This window comes from Homo sapiens, chromosome 16, assembly GCF_000001405.40.
Source record: "Homo sapiens chromosome 16, GRCh38.p14 Primary Assembly".
NCBI classification, from domain to species: Eukaryota; Metazoa; Chordata; class Mammalia; order Primates; family Hominidae; genus Homo; species Homo sapiens.
In genome coordinates this window covers 17,860,389-17,885,103 of record NC_000016.10, presented here as the reverse complement: position 1 = coordinate 17,885,103, position 24,715 = coordinate 17,860,389, and the positions used below count along the sequence as shown (strand labels likewise).

The 24,715-nt window shown below is 40.3% G+C and overlaps 1 long non-coding RNA gene across 1 annotated transcript in view; it reads left to right on the top strand.

Moving 5' to 3' along the window:
- Positions 1 to 24,014, top strand: part of LOC107984893 (uncharacterized) — a 111,412-nt gene extending 87,398 nt beyond the window's left edge. Inside the window, exon 4 of the long non-coding RNA XR_001752093.2 lies at positions 23,915 to 24,014. This is a non-coding gene — a long non-coding RNA (uncharacterized LOC107984893). The remainder of the gene's footprint in view (positions 1 to 23,914) is intronic.
- The last annotated feature ends 701 nt before the right edge of the window (positions 24,015 to 24,715 follow it).

Genomic DNA, 24,715 nt, shown 5'->3' with positions numbered 1-24,715 from the left:
GGGTTTAGTAGAGACAGGGTTTCGCCATGTTGACCAGACTGGTCTTGGACTCCTGTCATCAGGTGATCTGCCTGCCTCAGCCTCCCAAAGTGCTAGGATTACAGGCGTGAACACTGCACCCCGCACGTTAAGCTTTTTATGTTTTCCCTTTATCATCAGTTTTCTGAAAAATAAGTTGGTATCCTAACACCTCCACAGATGACCATTGAGGTTTCTTTTTTTTGTAAAGTGTTAGTTTGAACTCATTAATTTTTAACATATTTAGTTGTTTACATTTATTGCATATATTCTTTTTGAAACGAACATTAAGCAACCTTGGGCTAGTAGAAATATCTTCTTGGGAACCTCTCTTGAATTCTTTTGATGTGACCCCAGTGATCTTTGATAATCCTCCTGCCTTCTGGTAGAATAAGATGTTCTGGGCACACCTTTTGTATTTCCTGCCCCAGACCAGGAATTGACTACTTGTATCCAAGGATCCCTAGTTTCTTTAAGTGGCGAATAGTATTTAGAAACTGCAGTCTGGGCTATGTCATTGTTTCTGTTAAAAGTAACGGTGGATGGGCCCGGTGGCTCACACCTGTAATCTCAGCACTTTGGGAGGCTGAGGCGGGCGGATCATCTGAGGTCAGGAGTTCGAGACCAGCCTGGCCAACATGGTGAAACCCTGTCTCTACTAAAAATACACAAATTAGCCAGGCATGGTGGCACGTGCCTGTAATCCCACCTACTCAGAAGGCCAACAAGGCAGGAGAATCGCTGGAATCCAGGAGGCAAAGTTTGGAGTGAGCCGAGATCGTGCCAGTGTACTACAGCCTGGGTGGCAAGAGCAAAACTCCATCTCGAAAATAAATAAATAAATAAAGTAATAGCAAAAACTGCAGTTACTTTTGCACCCACCTAATAGGTCTTTAAAATTGACTAAGGTAGGAAATGAACTTTTTTCTTTTTTTTTTTAAAAGAGAGAATGCATCAGGTATTCATGCTGATACCTTCAACTCACATTTTAGGTCAAAAGGTTTACACTGAAGTTTTCTGATTCTATACTTGGGTCTTGCTTCCTTATGACAAAATCCTTGGCCCAAGTAGCATCAATGTAATTACTCACTTCTTTATCCTACCACATTCGTACAACAGTTCCAGAGTAACAGCAGCAATATCACAACTAACAATATGTTAACTGAAAATAACTTGCAATTTCTTTAGTTATTTTTAACCTTAAGCTGTATCCCACAGGGAGATACAGGCAAATTAGTGTATTTTAAAGTAGTGTAACATAATTTCTCACTGTTAAGCCGCGAACTTGACATAGTTTAGTTATTTTACTTCGTTTGGCTTTACGTTTGAAGGAATTGTTTTAGATTGTTTCATATAATTTGATTTTATAATTTTGTAGAATATTTACATGCTTAAAAAGTAAAATCTTTGGAACAGATTATATTCAGAGAAATGTAATTTATATCCACCTCCCCTTCACGTATTTCATACCATTTGTATTAGGTAACTTCTTTTTTAGTTTTTGTGCATTCTATTATTGTTTATATACACATATGCACAAAACTGAATATCTCTTCATATCTGCTTCATTTTTTAGGGAAAAAGTAGCATGCTATATCCACTATTTTGCACCTTATTTTTACTTAATATATCCTGGTGATCACATCTTAATGATATATAGAGGTACAGGTAATTCTCGTTATTCATAGTAGTTTTGTTCTGTAAAGTATCCATGAATACTAGATTAGTAAATCCTGAATTATTGGTCCTAGGGAAAATACATAGTTAGGTTCCTGTGAGCCTTGTGTGACAACATTTTCACCCACCAATCAACATATAACCTTGTTTTATGTGTGTTTCTGTCTAAAGACACCTGATTTAATATATAATGTTAATTCATTAAGAGTGAACTAAGGGACTATAACTCATGCCTGAACAAAGCTTATATAACATATTTTTTCTCCATAAGGTACTTCACACACAACTTTTTTTTTTTTTTTTTTTTTTGAGATGGAGTCTCCCAGTTTTTTCCCAGGCTGGAGCACAGTGGCATGATCTCAGCTCACCGCAACCTGTGCCTCCCGGATTCAAGCAATTCTCCTGCCTCAGCCTCCCGAGTAGCTGGGATTACAGGCACGCACCACCATGCCTGGCTAATTTTGTATTTTTAGTAGAGATGGGGTTTCTCCATGTTAGTCAGGCTGGTCTCGAACGCCCAAACTCAGGTGACCCACCCGCCTCGGCCTCCCAAAGTGCTGGGATTACAGGCGTGAGCCACTGCACTCAGCCCCTTCACAGCCTTCTCGTGCTTACAAACATTGGACAGCACTTCAGTACTTCACTTGGGGGCCATTTGAGACAATTAAATCACTATCAAAAAGCACAAAATGCAAACAATTTGGCAGTTCATAGACTGTGTAAAGGATATTTACATGTATAATACGAGAGATTAAGTAAGAAGACAGAGTGTCACCTTGTGTGGCCTCACCAGGAAATGTGCACATAAGCAGCTCAAATTTTTGCCATTCTGTTCACATGCCTGTCCACAATTGACTGTGAAAGTGCCTTCAGTATTGAATTTGGAGTTGCAAATAAATTTTAGCTAGTATGTGAATTTGCAACTGTAGAATCCACCAATAACAAGGATTGATTGTATTCCTCATTTCTTTTTTTATATTTGGACAGTACTCCATTGTGTGGATGTACCATAGTTTATTATACTAGTCTAATGTGGTGGCTTATGCCTGTACCCAGCACTTTGGGAGGCTGAGGTGGGCAGATCACTTGAAGCTAGGAGTTTGAGACCAGCAGGGCCAACACGGTGAAACCCCATCTCTTCAAGAAAAAAAAAAAAAAAACTACAAAAATTAGCCAGGTGTGGTGGCAGTAATTCCAGCTACCCGAGAGGCTGAGGTACAAGAATCACTTGAACCTAAGAGGTACGGTGAGACAAGATCACACCACTGCACTCCAACCTGGGCTACAGAGCAAGACACTGTCTAATAAAATAAATAAGGTCCATTGATGGAAATTTAGGTATTCTCCCATCCTTTGCAAATATTACAAATAGTACTACAATGACCAGGCTTGTGCATTTGTGTGTTCATGTTTTTGACAACTTCTCCTTGGAATAGAGTTCTTAATGTGGAAATCCTGAGTCGAAGGATCAATACATACATAGATTTTTTTGGTAAGCATTGCCAATTTTCTCTTCATAAGGATGGTACCATTTTTGCATTCACACCAGGATGGATGAGTGTGTTTCCCCACAGCTTCACCAACGGAATACATTGTTCAGCTTGTGAATATTTGCCGATCTAATAGGTAGTAAATGGTTATCATGGTGTCATTTTAATTGGTATCCCTTTTATTCTCAGTGATGTTGAGCCTCTATGCATAGTGCCATGGGGCATTTACATTTATTTTCTGCAAATTTTTGGTTCACCTATCTTGTGGGAGGCAGCTTCTTATTGGCAGGGAAGATAAGAAGGAATGTACAATACTGCCAGCGTAGGATTCCCCAGTCAGTGGGCAGAGAGATGAAGAACACAAGCAGTGGGTAGGGTCCCTGGGGCCAAGCACGTGGCAGTTTTCAAGTAGAAAACATAGTCATATCTAGAAGACAAGCTTCCTATCACAGGGAGGAGGAATGGTGTGAAAGAAGGCATTGGACTCCCAGCCAGTGCTCTGGAGCTTAAAGCATACTTACAGTTGTGAGGGAGGAGTATAGCAATGAAGGTTAGAGAGGGAAGCCTCAGATCTAAGGAAAAGTGAATGTGTTTGTCTGTTCTTCCGCTGTTATAAGGACATACCCAAGATTGGGTAATTTATAAAGAAAAAAGGTTTAATGGACTCACAGTTCTATGTGGCTGGGAAGGCCTCACAATCATGGCAAAAGGTGAAGGAGGAGCAAAAGCACGTCTTACATGGAGGCACGCAAGAAATCATGTGCAGCAGAACTGCCCTTTATACAACCATCATATCTCATGAGACTTATTCACTATCACGAGAACAGCACTGGAAAAGCCTGCCCCCATGATTCCATTACCTTCCACTGGGTCCCTTCCATGACACATGGGGATTATGGGGGCTACAATTCAAGATGAGATTTGGGTAGGGACACAGCTAAACCATATCAGTGAGCAAGGAGAAGCCCTTCCGTGTGGAATCGGTTCAACAGAGTGAAGAACGGAACTGAATGGAATCATTGTAGAGTTGTGAACACTGGTGCAGGAATCGTATAATGGAACCCTTTTCTTCCACTTAGTAGCTCCGTGTTCTTGCCTGAGCTTCATCCTCCTCCTGACTTTCATTTTTCTCACTGTATACACAGTAGATTTGGCCTCCTAGAGTTTCTGTGAAGATTAAATGATTTTTTGTGTGTGTGTGTAAAGGATTTTGCATCATACCAGGTATATCCTAAGGGAGCAATAAGTAATAGCTATTACTATAATAAAGAGGAATTTTCCTATCTTCATCAGGGCATGTTTAAGAGTAGATGTAGGGACAAAGAATGTAGGTAGGAGGCATAGATAGATATTTCCATGAAGAGCAGGGGCTGCAAGATGAAGTGGAAGGTGCATGTACCTTCATCCTGTAGATCATGCTTGCAGAAAGAGAAGACAGCAAGAGAAGACAGCTTATGATGCTCTGTGCAGGAGGAATTTTAAGTGGTTTCCTTAAAGGGCACATTTAACATTTTTCTTTAATATCTGTGTTAAATTTGAACTCTTTGCCACCAGGTCCAAACATGCTCCTGCTTGTACGTACACCTTGAATGAGCTTTGGGTCAATCAGTTCTCCCTGGATTCAATCCATGATTTTGGGTGGAGATGATGTCCTTCTCCCAACTTCTCTAACTATGAGGGAAGAGGTGTGAACCAGGGCTAAGCGAGTTTATACTTAGATCTATGCATTTGCCTCACTGATTAGTTCAGGGATTGGGTATGTGGCCCAAACAGAGACAAGGAGGCACAATATATTGTGTGCTTCACCTTCAGGAAAAGAGATTCTCCCTCTACTCACAAGAAATTTGAAACCAGGAGGATGTAAGTTCTGAAAACACTGCGTCTGTCTTTTGACCATGATGGAATAAATTGTATTAAAAAAAAAGAAAAAGAAAAGACAAAAAGGAAAAAAAAGGTTCCAACATAATCCAATATGAGGTAAGTCAAGTCACAATTTAAAGACAAAGGAAGAGAGGAATTAAATCTTGTTAACATCATTTTAACCCCTGATCAAGCCATGCCTGCAGCTAAACCAGGCCCTCAGTTTTTCCCTCGGTGGGTAAATAAATTCCTCTTGCACTCTGGCCAGTATGGAAAGTAGGTTTGTGTTACATCAAATGAATATTAGATGACAGAGTGTACCAGAGTTAATGTCCCACCCAGTTTGCTTATTTTCCCACATAGAGTACCTCCAGTATGCCAGGTCACTGTTTATCTCACTAAGAATTCAGAGCATCTTCCAGGCTCTAGGAAAATAGCACCTTAAACTTTAGATTTTGAACGTCTGGGAAGCAAGCACAGGATGACACTTGTGTACTAAGTTTTTATCCAATCAATTCCACTTTGAGAGGTAGCAGGTGTAGCGTTTCATTACAGACACTCTAAACTCCGAGATCCCGTCCCCATCCTCTGATGTGGCTCCTGCCCACCGGACTTGTGTGGCCTATTTAGAGACCATGATTAAGATAGAATCTGTATAGATTCTTTTCCAGCCAACGAAAGAATTTCCTTCTTACTTATTCAGAGGGTCTAGTGTGCAATATAAATTTAGCCAATTTGCAGAGCCTGGCTTGCCGATCTTGTTAGAGAGAGCCAAAGGCTATTGTCTGGTGTTAACACTGAAATAGAAGTCCTACTAGAAATCTCATTTCTAATTGCAGGAGGGTCATTTGAGAATGCAGGTGGACCCCTGTTTCCCAGGCTTATACAGTGTAAGGTAGCAATATGTTCTGAATCCCCAGGGAGTTTAAAACTTCTGGGATGCAATGAAACTGAATGTGTACCTCATCCAACCCCTGCAAAGAATGCCTTGGAATCTCTTGCCTAATGCATATGGCAGAAACAAAACTGGGAACTGGCCTGGTACAGAAAGTCCCAGGAGATGGCTCAGAATTGGCCTAAAAGTATGCACTAAAAATATGCATGAGATCAGGGGCTCTTTCAAGCTCTGGAATTTGGCCGAAGCTACTGTCCCAAAAATGCCCCATGAGAATGTATGCTTGTACATATGACAATTTCAGAATGGCAGAACTGTTTTTTTAAATCATCCCAGAAATCTCAAAGTTACTAACCTATTTCAAAAATTATATCTCAGCTCATAATAGTGGGTTGTTTTTATATTCTTCTCATATGTTTATTGAAAAAATACCTAGTGAACATTAAAAGGCATAAAGCAGAAGTAATGAGACCACTGAAAGACAATCACTATTTATTTGATGTTATGTCCTTCAAGAGTGCTTGGCAGATAGTCCTATCTTGGTGTTAGTTATAATTTTTGTGGTTGTTGCTTACAAAAACCAATGGAAACGGCTTACATTGTCTCATATATTCTTCTGAATATTGAATGCACATTTGTGCCATTAAAAACTTTCATTGCCTTATTCTCAGTGGCAATGTAGTAACTCTCCGTTATGTGAAAATATTTTTATTTACTTAAATCCCTTATTGTTGCATATTTAGGTGTTTCTCTTTCTTTCTCTGCACTGTTATAAAGAGTATTATACCAAACATTATAGTAAACACTTTTACAGGAAAAAATAGTTGCATATGTCTTTATGGTTCCCAAGGATAAATGTCTTGCAAGTGACAAATCTGGGTCAAGGGGTCTGAGTATTTATAAGACATTGCCAAAATACCCTCCAGGAACACTTCATTATTTTATACTACCACAAACAGTAAATGAGTAACAGTTCCTGTTTCTCTACACTCTTACCAAAGCTATATGAGCTTTTAATTTGCCATCTCTAAGTTATCCTTGAGTGTCTTGTTTTCAAATGTTGTCATTTCTAGGTGCTCAATGATTCGTGCCATTTTTATTCTTAGTGGAAGAGACTGTGTCAGTGAAATTGCTCTAATAGAAAGACATCAGGTTTTGCAATCATGCTTTCAAAGATAGGCAGTGTTTTGGTGTCTCTTGCTTCACAAAAAACACGTCAACACTTAGTAGCTTAAAACAATGACTTGTATTCTATCTTGTGTTTCTGTAGGTTGACTGAGCTCACTTGGGTGATTCCTCTGCTCCACATGCTGTTGACTGAGACTGAAATAATCTGAGGGCTTGATAGGGCTGGAACAACCAAGATGGCTCCCTCATGAAGCCGGTAGTTGGTGCTGGCTTTCAGCCAGGAGTTTACCTAAGGCTACTGACCAGAGCATCTCCATTCTCTTCCACGTGGTTTCTCCATGCAGCTTGAGTTTCTTACAATATGGTGTCTGAATTCCATGACGCAGGGAATAGGAGTGGCCAGTTATCTTACGGCTTGAGTTTGGAAGCTCAGAATCTCACTTGTGTCACATTCTCTTTGTCAAAGTTAGTCACAAAGCCAACCAAGATTCAAGGGTTGGGAAAATATACCTCTCCTCTTTATGTCAGGAGTGCCAAGTGCACGCAGGATGGGGAGGGATTACTGGGCACTATCTCTGGACACTAGTTAAAGACAGTGTGAGGAGGTGGAAGAAAAGAGAGGGGGAGAGATGGGCACTTTGTGACTGTTACTTTGAGCATGTTACTTAACTTCTCTGAGTCTTAGTTTCCAAAAATGAGAAAGAAGAATATCATCTATTTGTAATCATGAGAGTGAAAACACACACACACACACACGCACACACACACACATACATGTGTATATGTATATGGATACACACAACTATAATCCAGTCTATGTAATCTATCCTATCTATGCAGTCTATCTAATCTATCTATCTAATCTATGTATCTATGTAATCTAGCTAATCGATGTGTCTAATCTCATCTATGTATCTATCTAATCTATATATCTATAGCTAATCTATATATCTATGTAATCTATCACTGTGTATTGCAAGCACGGTGGGGCAGAAACGGTTACCATTACAATTACTGGTGATGTCACTTTCTAGCTGTGTGTTTCAGGGAAGTCACATAGCCTCTATTGCCTCATCTGGAAAATAGAAAGAAATAATATCTCACAAACTTATTGAGAAGATTAAATGAAGCAACGCAGGCAGATGTTCTTTGTCACCTCTTGACCTTGTTCTAAATATCTTCTTCCTTTCTTGGGATATGGAAATCAAAAGCAGATATAGGATATCCTATTAAATGTTTCTTTTTATAAGGATTCTTGGCTTATAATAGCAGGTCTTCTTTGATTGAAGACCATCATTTTCTCATTTCTTCTATCAGAGTACATAGAAGGCCCATGCTATTTGGATTTTTGTGTTCATTTTAGAAATAAACGTATACACAGACATGGTAGCAGGATTAGAAAAATTAAAATCTCACCATCTGGTATCAGCATTCAGTCTGGAGAAGAAACTATTACTTTCCAGTCTTCAGTCTTCTACAGGCAGATTATTTTCAGAAGGGTGTTTCCTTTGTGTTTGGGGGATTGGGAGATGGAATACTGAAATGACAAAAAAAAAAAAAGTCTTGTGTCTCAGATTTGAGATGATGCTGGGACAGATATAAAGAAAACAGTCCATCTGAGCAGAGAAAAAAGATTCCTAGGAAAAGTATAAATTTTGAGAATGATGAGAATCAGGTGAACTAGAGGTGAGGTTGGAATTCAAGATAATGTCATCCAGTTCTTTAGGGAGACAGAGTGGCCCTAGATAATTTCTGTTACTCTAGAAAATGAGGCCATTGTGAATGAGCAGCCCAGGGAGAGACTTTATCAGGGAAGCACATTCTCTGTATTTTTCCTTGTGTTTCCCACATGCAAAATCTTTCACTGAAAGAAACCCTCAGTAGAACATTAAACATTACAGTTAAACATTACAGATGGAACACACCCATTTATCTCCATTCCTCCCCAGAGACTCCCATTTAAATGGCACAGAAGAGATAAACCAGTATGAATAGAATGAGAAACTAGGATGAGAGGGGGAATCTAGAATAAGAGACAAGACAATATTGGACAAGAGATGTCAACTGCGTTTTGAGCAGTAGTATGTGGATTGATGAATGGTAACCAAAGTAACCGAGTGAAGAAAACTGAAATCTAAGGCCCCACTGAGGGGAGATTATAAACCAAAATCAAGGGGAATTGGGTCACAGAACCTCAGAAACTTTCAGCAGTTGGAGGCTTCAGGTACCTCAGATAGCATGAGCAAAGGAGGTGCTCGTGACAAGAGAGCTAGTTGATAGATAGACTCCCAGACACCCAATCCCACCCTGTGAACCCAGGCAGGGAAGTGGAGGTGAAGATTTGGAAAAATTGAACCAGGGCAGGGTCTTTATTCACAAATATCAGACAGTGGGTAATAGGCATGTGAGGTTCGACAATGGGAAGAGTGAATGAAAATCAGTACACTGAATGGTGTGGCTACCCAGCCCATTTTCTCTGAGCTTCTGGAATGCTGGAAGCCAGCATTTAAACATCTTGTAGAAATGGGGACTTACTGTGTTGACCAAACTGATCTTGAACTCCTGGGTTCAAATATTTTTTAAGATTGTTGTAGAAATGGGGTCTGGCTATGTTGCCCAAAGTGATCTTGAACTCCTGCCTCAGCTTCCAAAAGTGTTAAGATTACAGGCTTGAGCCACTGTATCTGGCTTAGAAGAATTTTTCTGAAAGTAACAGAAAGGACCAAGAAAAAAGTAAATATGGATACTGACATTTGGGATAATCTTAACAGAATGGCTTGGTCCATAAAATTCTTGAATTGGTGAATCCTATCCATAGAGCCTCTGATTAGTGTGAGGTGTGTGTGTGTGTGTGTGTGTGTGAGAGAGAGAGAGAGACAGAGAGAGAGATTTATCTCACTCAACTATTAATACAAAATAAAGAGTAATCAGGTACTTAAGGAAAGCCTTCAACATGGGGTGAGGAACAAACTAAAACATACAAACAATATAACTAATGCAACTTGTGAAAAGCAGACAATACAGGCAGCAGAAGAAAACTTCAAATAAATGATAATTAAGAGCCTCACAGAGATTAAAGAAGATATTCCATCCATGCCACAAGAGAAGGATGCTACTTAAAAAATGAACTGTAAGAGAATAAGAAACAACTCTTGGAAATTAAAAATCAGAAAGGTAAGTCACTTAAAAGCATAGTTGAAAAAGGAAATTTGCAAGAAGGCAAAAACATGATTCAAAGATTAAAAACATAGAGCAGATATAAAAAAAGTAGAAGAACAATTCAGAAGTTGTATGTGGGACTCCCAGAAATTGCAAAGAGAGGAGACACAAAATTGCAGGGAGAAGACTATCAAAGAATAAATACCGTAAAAGTGTTGGGGAGTGTGTGAGGGAGACAGGAGGGGGGTGGTACTAAATCTTCCAAAACCATTTACAAGAAGTTAAAATTGATAAATTAAGAAACAACCAATATAACCATGTTATTCAGACATATGGAGCAAAACTACCGGAAGTGAAAGACATGAAAATCTAGACTACAGGGAATCACTGAGTATCCAGTAAAATAAATTTAAAAACTTGTAATAAGGTGCATCATTCTTAAGTCACAGAATTCTGGGGATGCAGAGAAAATCCTAAAAGCTTCAAGGGAATAATAACAGGTCACATTAAAAGGATTAAGCATAAGAATTGATATTGAATGTCTTAATAGAAATACTAGAAGCTGGAAGGTAATAGGTCCATGCTCTCAAACTTATAACCTAGAATTCTATATCCAATCAAATGATTAATCAAGTACGAGGATATAATGAAAATTTTCAGACATGCAAGGACTCAAAATTGTACCTGAAAAGGCTTTGGGAGGCTATTCCTCTCCAAAAATTAAAGAAAGAAAGTCAAGGCAGGGCATGGGGGTATGCACCTGTAGTCTCAACTATTCGGAAGGCTGAGGTGGGAGAATTGCTTGAGCCCAGGAGGTCGAGGCTGCAGTGAGCTATGATCGCACCACTGCACTCCAGCCTAGGGGCCATAGCAAGACTTCATCTCAAGAGAAAAAAGAAAATCAAGAGAAATAAGATAGGAAATCAGAGAAATAGGATTCAGTGGAGGAGAGAAGTTCAATGTAAACCCAGCAGGATGGGAAGGGATGAAGCGTGGAAGGAGGTAGGTGAGGTAGCAGGTCTAGAGTGGAACACATTCACACGGGGGAAGGTGTCTCGAAGAGGTACTTCTTATAAAAGGACTGATAGCTTACTGATGAGTTTTATTATATTTATTTATTTATTTATTTATTTATTTATTTATTTATTTAGATATGGAGTCTTGCTCTGTCACCCAAGCTGGACTGCAGTGGCGCAATCTCGCGTCACTGCAAGCTTCGCCTCCCAGGTTCACGCCATTCTCCTGCCTCAGCCTCCCGAGTAGCTGGGACTACAGGCGCCCGCCACCACACCTGGCTAATTTTTTGTACTGATAGTAGAGACGGGTTTCATCGTGTTAGCCAGGATGATCTCGATTTCCTGACCTCGTGATCCGCCCGCCTCGGCCTCCCAAAGTGCTGGGATTACAGGCGTGAGCCACCGCGCCGGGGAGTTTTATTCCATTAAAATTTGTTTAGTGTTCTGTTGGAGATTTCTGGGAAGAATTCATGTTGGGTACATAAAAAATAAGTCAAAGGGCAGAAAAAAAAAGCATTAACATCAGGAAAAACTAAATCTATATGAAGAAGAAACTTAATCATTGTATTCTACTTGGATTAATAGCCATAGTAACACATATACTGATTATTAATTTAACAAAAGCAATGGGATATCACTAAATTAGCAGGATGTGATAATAGCTGTAGTAACATATATACTGATTACTGATTTAACAAAAACAACGGGATATCACTAAACTAGGATGTGAGTGCATGGGGAGAGGCAGGAGCAGGAGGAGGCACTAAGTCTTTCAATACCATTAACAAGAAGTTAAAATTGATCAATTGAGAAATAGCTGCATAACCATGTTATTTAGGTATATGGAGGGAAACTACCATGAAAAAGGCCTGAAAATTAAAAGTTATTTCCCCTTAAGAGCAGTAATTAATGGTAGAGAGGGGTGGGGAAGAGGACTGATGTTTTTATTGTTTTGAAAAAAAATTAACATTTTAAAGAGAAAACCTCTCAGAACAGGGGCTGGCCGCTGGAATGTGAAGACAGAACTTTGGTGAGACATAGCCCCTTTCCACTTTTGTATTCAATAATCATTCAATGCTGATTTTGTGCCTGACTTTCCATTACCTATGACATCTCATTTAATCTTCTGATCAACACTTTGAGGGAAGCACATTTTTTAAAAAATTTACTTTTTGTGGGTATATCTTAGGTGTATTAGTTCGTTTTCACGTTGCTGATAAAGACATACCAGAAACAGGGTAATTTATAAAGGAAAAAGGTTTAATAGACTCAGCTCCACATGGCTGAGGAGGCCCCACAATCGTGGCGGAAGACAAAGGAAGAACAAAGGGCTTTACGTGGAGGCAGGAAAAGAGAATGAGGGCCAAGTGAAAAGGGAAATCCCTTATAAAACCGTCAGATCTTGTGAGACTTATTCACTGCCACGGGAGCAGTATGGGATAATCCCCACCACACCCCATAATTCAATTACCTCTCACCAGGTTCCTCCCATGACATACGGGAATTGTGGGAGCTACGATTCGAGATGAGATTTGGGTGGGGTCACAGCCAAACCATATCAGTACGTGTATATGTTTATGGGATATATGGGATATTTTAATACAGGCATACAAAGTATATGTAATAATCATGTCAGGGTAAATGGAGTATCCATTTGAGGCAAGAACTTTTATCCTCATTTTATAGAGGCCAAGACTCAGGGAAGTTAAGTAGCTCTGTGGGTGAATCTCACAAGGATTTCAGCACATATTTGTCTGACCCCAGAATTTTGTTTTTCCCATCAGTTCAGGTTGACTTCTTGTAGTTGGGGTCTATTTATGCTCTAAACTTGCCATAGAAGAAGATAATTTTAGATCTAGGAGGGGCTCTTACAAATCTTCTCATTCAAAGTTTTCATTTTGTTGGTGAGTAAACTGAGATTATAGCACTTGACTAAAGGGGTGTGGTTCCTAGCAGCTGATCTGGCTCGAGCTCCACATCTTTTTTTTTTGTTTGTTTTTTTGTTTTTTGGAGACAGTCTTGCTCTGTCGCCCAGGCCGGAGTGCAGTGGTGCAACCTCGGCTCACTGCAAGCTCCGCCTCCCAGGTTCACGCCATTCTCCCGCCTCAGCCTCCCGAGTAGCGGGAATTACAGGCGCCTGCCACTACGCCCGGCTAATTTTTTGTATTTTTAGTAGAGACGGGGTTTCACCGCGTTAGCGAGGATGGTCTCCATCTCCTGACCTCGTGATCCGCCCGCCTCGGCCTCCCAAAATGCTGGGATTACAGGGGTGAGCCACCGCGCCAGGCCCCACATCTTTTAATCTGCCTGACACTGTCAGTGTTGTGGGGAAAAACCCAGAAAGTTAGGGCTCCTCCCATAAACAGAAATCACAGCTATTTGTTTATCCCCAAGAATAACCGCCCATCTGGCTGTTTTAAGACAGAGAAAAGTGAAATTCCAACCACGGAAAATCGAGAGGACCTGACGGTATGGGTGTGCCCGGCATGGTCTTGTTTGGTCTGAACCGTATTTAACGTAGCACATCACATCCTATAAAAGTCCTTGTCATCTCTGTGATGGGACATGTGTTGATGGCTCCCTGGGAACTAGGCTCTCGAGGGAAAGTCACCTGCTCTTCCTGTAGGAGTTTCCCGGCATGGGTGAAAACACGAACTGTGTGCTGTTGTCAGAATGTTTGCATCTCCCTAGATTCATATGTTGAAACCTCATCTCCAGTGCAATAGTATTAAGAGGTAGAGTCTTTGGGGGATGATTAGGTTATGAGAACAGAGCCTCCATAAATGGGATTAGTGACCTTGTGAAAGAGGCCAGAGGGAGCTTTTTCTCCCCTTCTTTCATGTGAGGACACAACTAGAAGGTGTCATCTTTGAAGCAGAAAGTGAGATCTCACCAGACAACAGATCTGCTGGCACCTTGATATTGGACTTCTCAGCCTCCAGAACTGTGAGTGATACATTTCTATTGTTTATAAATTACCCAGTCTGTGGTATTTTATTATAGCAGCCTGAACAGACTAAGATACTGTGTGACAGTGTCCTGGTGCCAAAGAGGCTGAAAGGGAGGGAACTAAAAGAGAAAAATCTAACGTTTATTGAACACCCACTATGTGCCAGAAATTGTGCTAAGGACTTTATATTAATTATTTTATGTTTGGAACAATTAAGATTAGTACTCTTATTACTCCCATTTGACAGATGAGAAAACTGAGGAGCAGAGAAGTTAAACAAACTTTTAAGAAGGATCAGGGCTTGAATGAAGGGCACATTACCTTCTCTTACTCTTTTTTTTCCTTTTGAGACAGGGTCACGCTCTGTCACCCAGGTGGGAGGGCAATGGCACAATCATGCCTGGGCAACTTTTAATTTTTTATTTATTTATGTTTTTTTTAGTAGGGATGAGTTCTCACTATGTTGCCCAGACTGGTCTAGAGCTCTTGAACTCAAGTGATCCACCTGCCTTAGCCTTTTAAAGTGGTGGGATTACAGGCATGAGCCACCATGCCCAGCCTCCTGCTCTTACTGTTTTTATTGTTGTTTTGTTTTTTTTTTTGAGATGGAGTCTTGCTCTGTCACCCAGGCTGGAGAGCAATGGTGTGATCTCGGCTCACTGCAACCTCTGCCTCCTGGGTTTAAGGGATTCTCCTGCCTCAGCCTCCTGAGTAGCTGGGATTACAGACACCTGCCACCAGGCCTGGCTAATTTTTGTATTTTTAGTAGAGACGGGGTTTCACCATTTTGGTCAGGCTGGTCTTGAACTCCTGACTTCGTGATCTGCCTGACTCGGCCTCCCAAAGTGTTGGGATTACAGGCATGAGCCACTGCGACTGGCCTGCTCTTACTCTTAATTTTTTTGCTATACAGCCTAGTTTTTTGTCTGTCTGCCACCCAAGGTAGCTCTAAAACAAAGCTGACCAATGCGAAGCAAACACTATAGGCAGATGAACTGTACAACTGGACTCTCCTCGGCCTCTGGTGTGCTGTTTGCCTGCTGTGTCCTCATTTCCTGGACGACCCAACTTCCAACATGCTACCTTGCTCTCTTGCATGAGCATTCCTCATTCATCCTTGAAGACTAGCTTTAGACATCATTCTGTCTGGAAGTCTTCCTCACCCCCATTAGCCTGGGATGGAGGCCCATCATTTTACCCATCACTGCTTGTCACTTACCATGGTGTTTGTCATCAATTGTTTGTGCACCTCTTTCCCACGAAATGAAGATTGCTGCAAGGGCTAGAAAACCTCTTGACAGTCTGTGCCAGGCTGAATAATGTCTCTCCTCCCAGATATATTCACATCCCAATCCACTCAACCTGTGACTATGTTACCTGACGGCAAAAGCCACTTTGTAGATGTGATTTGGTTAAGGATTTGAGATGAGGAGATTATCCTGGATTATCCAGATGGGCCTGATAGAATCACAAGGGTCCTCATAAAAGGAAGGCAGGAGAGTCAAAGTCAGAAAAAGGAGATGAGAGGATGAAAACAAAGGTCGGAGCGATGCACTTTAAAGATGGAGGAAGGTTCCGTGAGTCAAAGAATGCAGATGGCCTCTAAAAGCTGGAAAGGCTGGGACCTGTGATCTCAGTGTTTTGGAAGGCTCAGCTGGGAGGATTGCTTGAGCCCAGGAGTTCGAGACCAGCCTGGGAAACTTAGATATACTCTGTCTCTACCAAGAAAGAAAAATTAGGTGGATGTAGTAGTGCATGCCTATGGTCCCAGCTACAAGGGAGGCTGAGGTGGGAGGATGGCTTGAGCTGAGGAGGTCGAGGCTGCAGTGAGGCTTGACAGCAATGCTGTATTCCAGCCTGGGCAATATTTCAAGACCCTGTCTCAAAACTTAATCAATCAACTATATATATATATATAAAATATATAATCATATACATGATATATATTATATCATATATATTATATATATCATATATAATATAGGATGTATTACATTATACATTTAATCTTCTGATCAATGCTTTGAGGGAAGCACATTTTTTTAAAAATTTACTTTTTGGGGGTATATATATAATGTAATACATATATAATGTATTACATTATATATTACGTGTGATGTATTGTTATATATTATATGTGTATTACATTATATATTATGTATGATATGTTATAATATATAAAATATATAATATATATTATATAATAGTTATATAATATGTACTATATATTATATATAGTATTATATTATACTATATATAATACTATATATAGTATATATAATACTATATATAATACTATATATAGTATATATAATACTATATATTATACTATATATAGTATATATAATACTATATATAGTATATATAATACTATATATTATACTATATATAGTATATATAATACTATATATAATACTATATATAGTATATATAATACTATATATTATACTATATATAGTATATATAATACTATATATTATACTATATATAATACTATATATATAATATATATTATAATATATATATTAGAACCTGGAAAAGGCAGGGATATGGATTCTGCCCAAGACATGCAGAAGGAAGGTAGCCCTGCTGACAACTTGATTTTAGGACTTCTGACCTTTGTTGTAATTTGTTACAGCAGCAATAAGAAGTGAAAACACAGCTCTAGTGCTTAGATAGAGCTAGGCACACAGTAGGAACTTAAGTGTTTCTTCCACAAATGAATATTTGAGCCATTTGCAGTGCAATGTTTGTGTCTCCGTTTCACGTATATCTTCTTGTAAGTCAAGGTTTATGAGTGGTCATCAAATGAAAAGTGGAAGGGACATTTCTCTGAAAGTCTGTAGCAGAGATTTTCCTGTCATAGACAACACAAGCTGGTTTGAGCAGCATTAAGTGTGAGGGAATTCAATAGATTTATTCTGTAACTTGGGAAAACTTGTTTGATCTCTCAGGGTCTCTGTTTTCCCATCTGTAAGAAATCAAAAGTTAGTCTCGCCTTCTTCCTGACGGTGAAGTTCATAAAGACAGATGATGTTATTCAACCAGAGTATTCCTTGGAAGACAAGGTTCTATATAAATCCTGGGTAGCCTGATTGTTGCATTAATAATAAATATTTAAGAAATAAAGCCCACGTTTTCAAAAACAAATAAACGAAGACACCCAGCATCACCTGTCACTTAGGGAAGGTTGTGCTCTCTTCCTGAACTAAAACACTTAGTGTTTTTAATAGCTTCACTTCTTAATATTCTGTAACCAAAGAAGTGGAATGCACAACTTTAGGATTAAATATTAAAATATTAAATATTAAATCAGACAGCAGAAATTCATCACATGCTTGAATCTGCCCAGTTTACTCGGGGTTTCCTAGGCACGCTAAGAAATCCAAGTACTGTTCTTATTCACTGAGGTCATTTCTTTCCTCTTTTAATGCCAGACACACAGGCACCATATACATCTTTTTATTGATCAATCTCAAAGAGTTGAATGAAATAGAACAAATACTAGCATCTGTACTTGAAATAACCCATCTGGCATGATGAATCTAGAGGTTGCATTTACTAGACATGGCCAGTTATTCCGAATGAGGAAGCGGCACATGATTTGTCTTCTTGGCCAATGTCTGTTTCTTCTTGACTCCTCGTACCAGCAGCTTTGTGTAGCCTGCGTTGCAACCCTGGGCCCGATCTTTGTGTAAATTTTGACTGCAACAGTGGCCTGACAGTCAGCTGGGTGTCATCATAATCCAAGCTCCAGTACTCAAAGAAGACCAGAGAACCCTGCTAACTTGATTGATGGAATCTGGTGTTTCTCTACCCAAGGAAAACAACTTTGATGTTTATCTTCACTCTTTCTGCCTCCCCTGTCTGTCTTTCAAATTCTTGCTCAGAGAAAGTCTTCTGCCCTCCAAAACCCATTTCTGAGAGATGACCTGATGCTAGGCATTTATAATTCATTCTTTAGGTAAGCCACAGGGTTTAGTGAAAAGACAGAAAGACCTACTCCCCTGCTTAGCTTGTGACCTTGAGCAAGCTGGTTCACCTTTTGAGACTATTTTCTCATCTGTTAATGAAGATGGAAGGAATAGTGTGATTATGTTTACACAGTGGTATGTTGCCATTCACAAGCTTGGAGGTATTAATTAAGTCACATTTCCTTTAGTGATTAGATTAACACAACCCTAAGCCTTAATGCTGGCCTGGCAAAAACTCCTCTGAGCATGTGTGTTGGAGGGAATATATAGCGGGAGAGGGAAGAAGGAGAAAGTGTTTATCCGTAACGATACTCAACCACAATTGCTATTATCCTAGCCCCAGTTTCTCTTTCTTATTTTTTATTTTTTTGAGACAGGATCTTGCTCTCTCACCCAGGCTGGAATGCAGTGGCACAATCTCAGCTCACTGCAACCTCCACTTCCCAGGCTCAAACAATCCTCCCACCTCAGCCCCCCAAGTAGATGGAACTACAGGTACGTACCACCACACCTGGGTAGTTTTTGCATTTTGTGTAGAGACGGAGTTTCACCATGTTGTCCAGGATAGTGTCGAACTCCTAAGCTCAAGTGATCCACCTTCCACGGCCTTCCAAAGTAGTGGAATTACAGGTGTGAGCCACTTTGCCCAGCCATCTAGGTCCAGGTTCTCAATTAAAGGTCTTCAATTTACATTCATATGCAAAGTCAGTAACTCAGAATATGACTATACTGCTCAGGTGTCTGGGTCCCCTGAAGTTTCCAGGCTCAAGCACAATTTGTGTGCAGAATCAGCTTCTGTAAGTGTTGAGATATTGGCATTGTACCAAGATAGCTGGGCGCATTTCCTCTCTATTTCAAGGTGAGTCATGGGAGGCCTTCAGTATCTTTTAATGTTCACTGGTTAATAGGTCTATATTTGTCTCAGAGATATTCTACTCTCATTGAAACTCAAAATGATCAGAGGTCAGTTCTCCCTATGGGAATTTACCTGTATCTCACTTCAGCAGCCACTGAGTTCCACATTCCAAGAAATCACATAAGGAGGTGGTCTTTGTGAAGCCATAACCTTGTCCTGATAGCATATATACACCGTGGTACAGTGGCAGATGCATAACCTCCTTATTTTCCTTTTAATACACTGGTACCTTCTTCATTTATCCATTTATCCAAAAACTTACCCATCCTTCCAAGCTCAGGCCAGTGCCTCCTCCTCTGCAACACTTCTACTCATCTCCTTTTCCTCCAAATACTTTAATGAGTGAACTCATCCTGTCTTTCATATTAAATCATAGTTCTGGAGCTTATAAGCCACAAGGGCAGTAACAATGCTAAATAAACACACAGTGCCTTTTCCATCTTAGACTTTGGATCAGGCTCTTTACATTTTATTTATTTATTTATTTATTTAGAGACAGAATTTCACTCTTGTCACCCAGGCTGGAGTGCAGTGGCACGATCTCGGCTCACTGGAACCTCTGCCTCCCGGGTTCAAGAGATTCTCCTGCCTCAGCCTCCTGAGTAGCTGGGAATTACAGGCGCCCGCCACCACACCCAGCTATTTTTTTTTTTTTTTTGTATTTTTAGTAGAGACAGGGTTTCACCATGTTGGCCAGGCTGGTCTTGAACTTCTGACCTTAGGTGATCCACCTGTCTCGGCCTCCCAAAGTACTGGGATTACAGGCATGAGCCACCGCGCCCAGCCTCTTTACATATTATTTATTCAGAGTTTTGTTGAGTAAATACCCAAGCATCTGATACTGTGGTGGGTGCTGGGTGCTGAATAACAACACAAAGACATGCCTGGTTGCTGCATGCTTGCAGCGTGTGGTCTTGATCAGCTGTGGAAAACTGTGACCTATGCCTGCTTCTGTATGGTCCATAAGCTCAGAATGTTTATTTTATTTTTAAACATGTTTAAAGTGTGTGTGTGTAAGACAGAGAGAGAGAGAAAAAATACGCAGCAGAGACCTCATGTAGCCTGCAGAGCCTAAAATATTTACTACCTGGTCCTTTACAGAAAAAGTCTGCTGACCTCTAAAGATCTCACTGTATCTATACAACTATCCTGCAAGACAGATTTTTTTTAAAAAATTACATCCGTTTTACTTATGAGAAAACTGATATTCATGGAGGTGAATTATCTTGTCCAAGATGATACACTTAACACTTTCTGAGCTGGAGGTTCAGATTAGAATATGGTCGGTTTGTCTGGGGCCCACAGTCGTGTGGTCATTCTAGACTTGCAGGGAGGAGGCCAGTGTTCCTGTCCTGGTTATACCCCAGTTTAACCATGGAAACCACGTACTCCCCTGCCACCATGTTCATCCTGCAATGCTATAATAGTAATCCATTCTATGGGATGAGGAGGCAGTGCCTTTAAAAAGTCAACTGCTGATAAGATCAAGAAAACAGACTTCCAGGATTAGGAAGAAAGATTGGCAGTCGAGAATTAGAAACCCCAGTTGCAGTCCTCTTTTGGCCTCAGAATTTCCATACATAAAATGTAGAAGTTGGATTGCTTGACTTCTAAAGTACCTCCCAATACCTCCCAAACCTGAAAATTCAGAGTTCTGAGGATACATTTCCTTTACTCTGGTTGGACTGTACTTATTTTTCTTTATAGTGACCATATCATAACTGTTGACCAACTGAATAATAATGATTTAATATTTAATTTAAATGTTTTATATTGGGAGAGTGTAAAGTGCTATCCACACCTCTAAGACATCTTGCTTGTTCAATCTGCAGGGCTGTTGGCATCCTCTCATGTTCTATCTAATACTTTGTAATAAGAAAGGCAAAGACTCTAAGACAACCAGGCAGAATGGATACTCCTAATGATGACTAATGAGGCTTCCCCATAGGAAGGCTGTACTCTGTATTCTGACCCCCAACCAAATTAACCAAATTAACATTGGCTGATTGGAAGTGTGCTCTGCAAATTTGCAATAGAAGATGTGCTGGCTGAGGTATCTAACTTCTATAGATACGACCCAAATTACTTCCACAGAGATGCTTACCCATCTATACTACACAGCCCTTTCCCCAAACCTGGTCCTCATTATTATGCCTATGTTCTGCTTGTCTGAATCCAGTGGTTTGAGGTATGTTTTGGAAAGTGAGAAGTTTGCTATTTAAGACAGACAGGTGATTTGCACTCCCAAATGTTTATTTTTATTTTTATTTAATTATTTATTTATTTATTTTTGAGATGGAGTCTCACTCTGTCACCCAGGCTGGAGTGCCATGGCACGATCTGGGCTCATTGCACCCTCCGCCTCCTGGGTTCAAGCGATTCTCCTGCCTCAGCCTCCTGAGTAGCTGGGATTACAGGTGCCTGCCACCATGCCCCGCTAATTTTTTTTGTTGTTGTTGTATTTTTAGTAGAGATGATGTTTCACCATGTTGGCCAGGCTGGTCTCAAACTCCTGACCTCAAGTGATCCACCTGCCTCGGCCTCTTAAAGTGCTGGGATTACAGGCGTGAGCAGCCACACCTGGCCTGAGTCACTGCACCCAGCCATGCACTCCCAAACATTTCTGAGGACAGTGGCTCTCTGTCTGGGTTGTGTATTGGAATCATCTGAGAAACTTTAAGAAATGCCATTAGAATCTCATACCTAGAGATTCACATTTAATTGAATTGAGTAGGGCAAACACTTAAAAAGCTTCACTGGATATTCTAACACGAATAGGGGTTTGAGAACTACCATTCTAGGAAAAGGTACATGTAGATCAAATGGCATAGTAGGTACGGTATCTAATTCTGAATTATCCAATTTAAGATAGAATCAAACTTCTATGTATTTTTGTAAAAATAATATACATGTAGTGTTTTAGATATTTGATCTTACAATGTATAAAGATTAAGGTTTTGGAGAGAACGACAAAGAAGAACTACAGTGTAAAACATGCTTTACTATTTTTTTATTAGCTCATTTTGAAATACCCAGGCAAAATTGACGGTAAGTGGACATAAATGATCACCTTTCAGTATTGCTTCTAATTATTTACAGAGTTAATTCAGTTCTAGTCAAAGCTTTTTAAATCATACTTTTGCATAACTGTTTCTTTATTGTTTTAGAATATGGATTTTTGTTATTTATTAACCCTATCAATTTGTTTTTCTTTTCTAGAGACAGAGTGTTGCTATATCATGCAGGCTGGTCTCAAGCAGTCCTCCCACCATGGCCTCCCAAAGTGCTGGGATTACAGGCGTAAGATACCATGCCCTGCCTTCATGTTTTTTTGTTTTTGTTTTTTAAATACCATCAGCACCATTTTGGTGAACTACACAGCATATAAGAAAAATAATCCCTTGCTTTTGCCGCAAGTAACATTTTATAATGGCAGAAGAGGCAACCCTGGCAGGCTTCGCTATATTTCCTGTAGAACTTCCTACCAGCGTTGGCTAAAAGGATGCTGAAGACCAATTGGGGCAGAGCAAGATTACGATATTGTAGGTAAATGGATTTTGATTCTCAGTGGCGGGGAGGTGGACACCAAGGCTACCTGTGACATCATTGTAGAATTATCTCTAATTGCATTACCCTTGTAATCAGAAGAAAACAAAAGAAAGGAGTAGACAGCACAACTAATAGTGTAATTCCATTAGTCTGAAGAGGTGGGTCAAGGGCTTATTGAATAATGAAAATGGCTCTAGTACCGACGTTCAGTATTGCACACGCAGGCTTACACATACATTTGCATTCAAAAGCCCCCACAGAGGGCAATCTGGTTCTGCCAGAGGCAGTGATATAATTAAAGGAATGGGATTATTTTTAGAAAAGAGTCCCCAAAGTGGCTTGTGATTGGTGCAAGATGTAAATGCATGGCTGTAAGCTAATTGTAGAATCCTGGTCTCCTGCGGTAAATAGGGCTTAGAACAAATCGATAGGAACCTAATTTTATTCTGCAGATGACATTGTTTTTAATTTGATTCAACAAACATTTATTAGGCATTTACTATGTCCCTGGTGCTGAGTTAGATAGTAGGGATATAGGGACAAAATCATAGACCTTGACTTCAATTTGCTCACAGCCTGGTAAGAGAGAAATCTGTAAATCATGAATTCCAATTCAATGTGTTAAGAGGTGCCCCTGGTGCAAGGTGCATGGGAGGGTTGGTTGCCTCTGTTTTGGTGACAAGGTGTGGTTAGTTCAGGATAGTTTGGTTTATGTGCCAGAGACACATGCAAAGGAGGACAAATGAAAAGTGAAGCAGTTATAAAGATTCAGAGGGGGCCAGGTGCAGTGGCTCACACCTATAATCCCAGCACTTTGAGAGGCCGAGGCAGGTGGATCACCTGAGATCAGGAGTTCGAGACCAGCCTGACCAACGTGAGAAACCCTGTCTCTACTAAAAATACAAAATTAGCCGGTCATGGTGATGCATGCCTGTAATCCCAGCTACTCGGGAGGCTGAGGCAGGAGAATCACTTGAACCCAGGAGGCAGAGGTTGAGGTGAACCGAGATCGTGCCATTGCACTTCAGCCTGGGTGACACAGTGAGACTCTGTCTCAAAAAAAAAAAAAAAAAAAAAAAAGATTCAGGGGGAATTTCATTGAAACAAATGCAAATGTGGGAGACATCATGGGAACTGTAAAATCATCAGGAACTCTTACTATGTCTCTGCCCATGTCATGTCCTTTCTCTTTAGTCCAACTCTGCTCCATCATCTGCTGATACAGAGGTCTACAGAACCTTCCAGTTCAGCACCTAATTCTGTCTCCATGCCTCAATTCCAGATATCCGACAGAGAGAAAGAGAATGTGATTGACTCTTAACTAGAGTCACGCACCACTCTGGATCAATCATCTGAGGCCTGGGAGAAGTGTCATAACACAGGTACTGTAGCCTTTTGGCAAGGTTTTTTTATTTTTTTAATTTTTATTATTTATTTTATTTTATTTTATTTTTGAGACGGAGTTTTACTCTTTCGCCCAGGCTGGAGTGCAGTGGCACAATCTCAACTCACTGCGACTTCCTCTTCCCAGGTTCAAGTGATACTCCTACCTCGGCCTCCAGAGTAGCTGGGATTACAGGCTCGCACCACCACGCCCAGCTGATTTTTGTAGTTTTAGTAGAGATGGGGTTTCACCATGTTGGCCAGGCTGGCCTCAAACTCCAGCAAGGTCAATATTTTAAAAACCATGTAAGGAAGAAGGAATTGAGGGAGAGTCACTAACTGGGGTCCCAATGGCATTAGCTTTTTGGCACTAGACAAGTTCCTAAACCATAAAGTGGCTGAGTAGGAAGTGGTTTATCCCACGTACATACAGTTGTGCACCTTTAGAATTATTAACCGGTTAACATTCCGGAGTGACCCCCATTCTGGCAAGACTAGGACTAAAGAAACTCTGTTTGCCTTTTGGCTGATGACAGGGCTCAGCATGACAGGGCTCAGCAATACCTCCCCTTACAACAGAAGTATGAAGCAGATCTTGAGGAATCTGAGAAAGATTAGAATCTCTCTCCCTTTTTGTTTTATAGCACAGTATATCATAATGGCACTGGGCTATAGTTGATTCAGTTAGCTGTTAATTGAA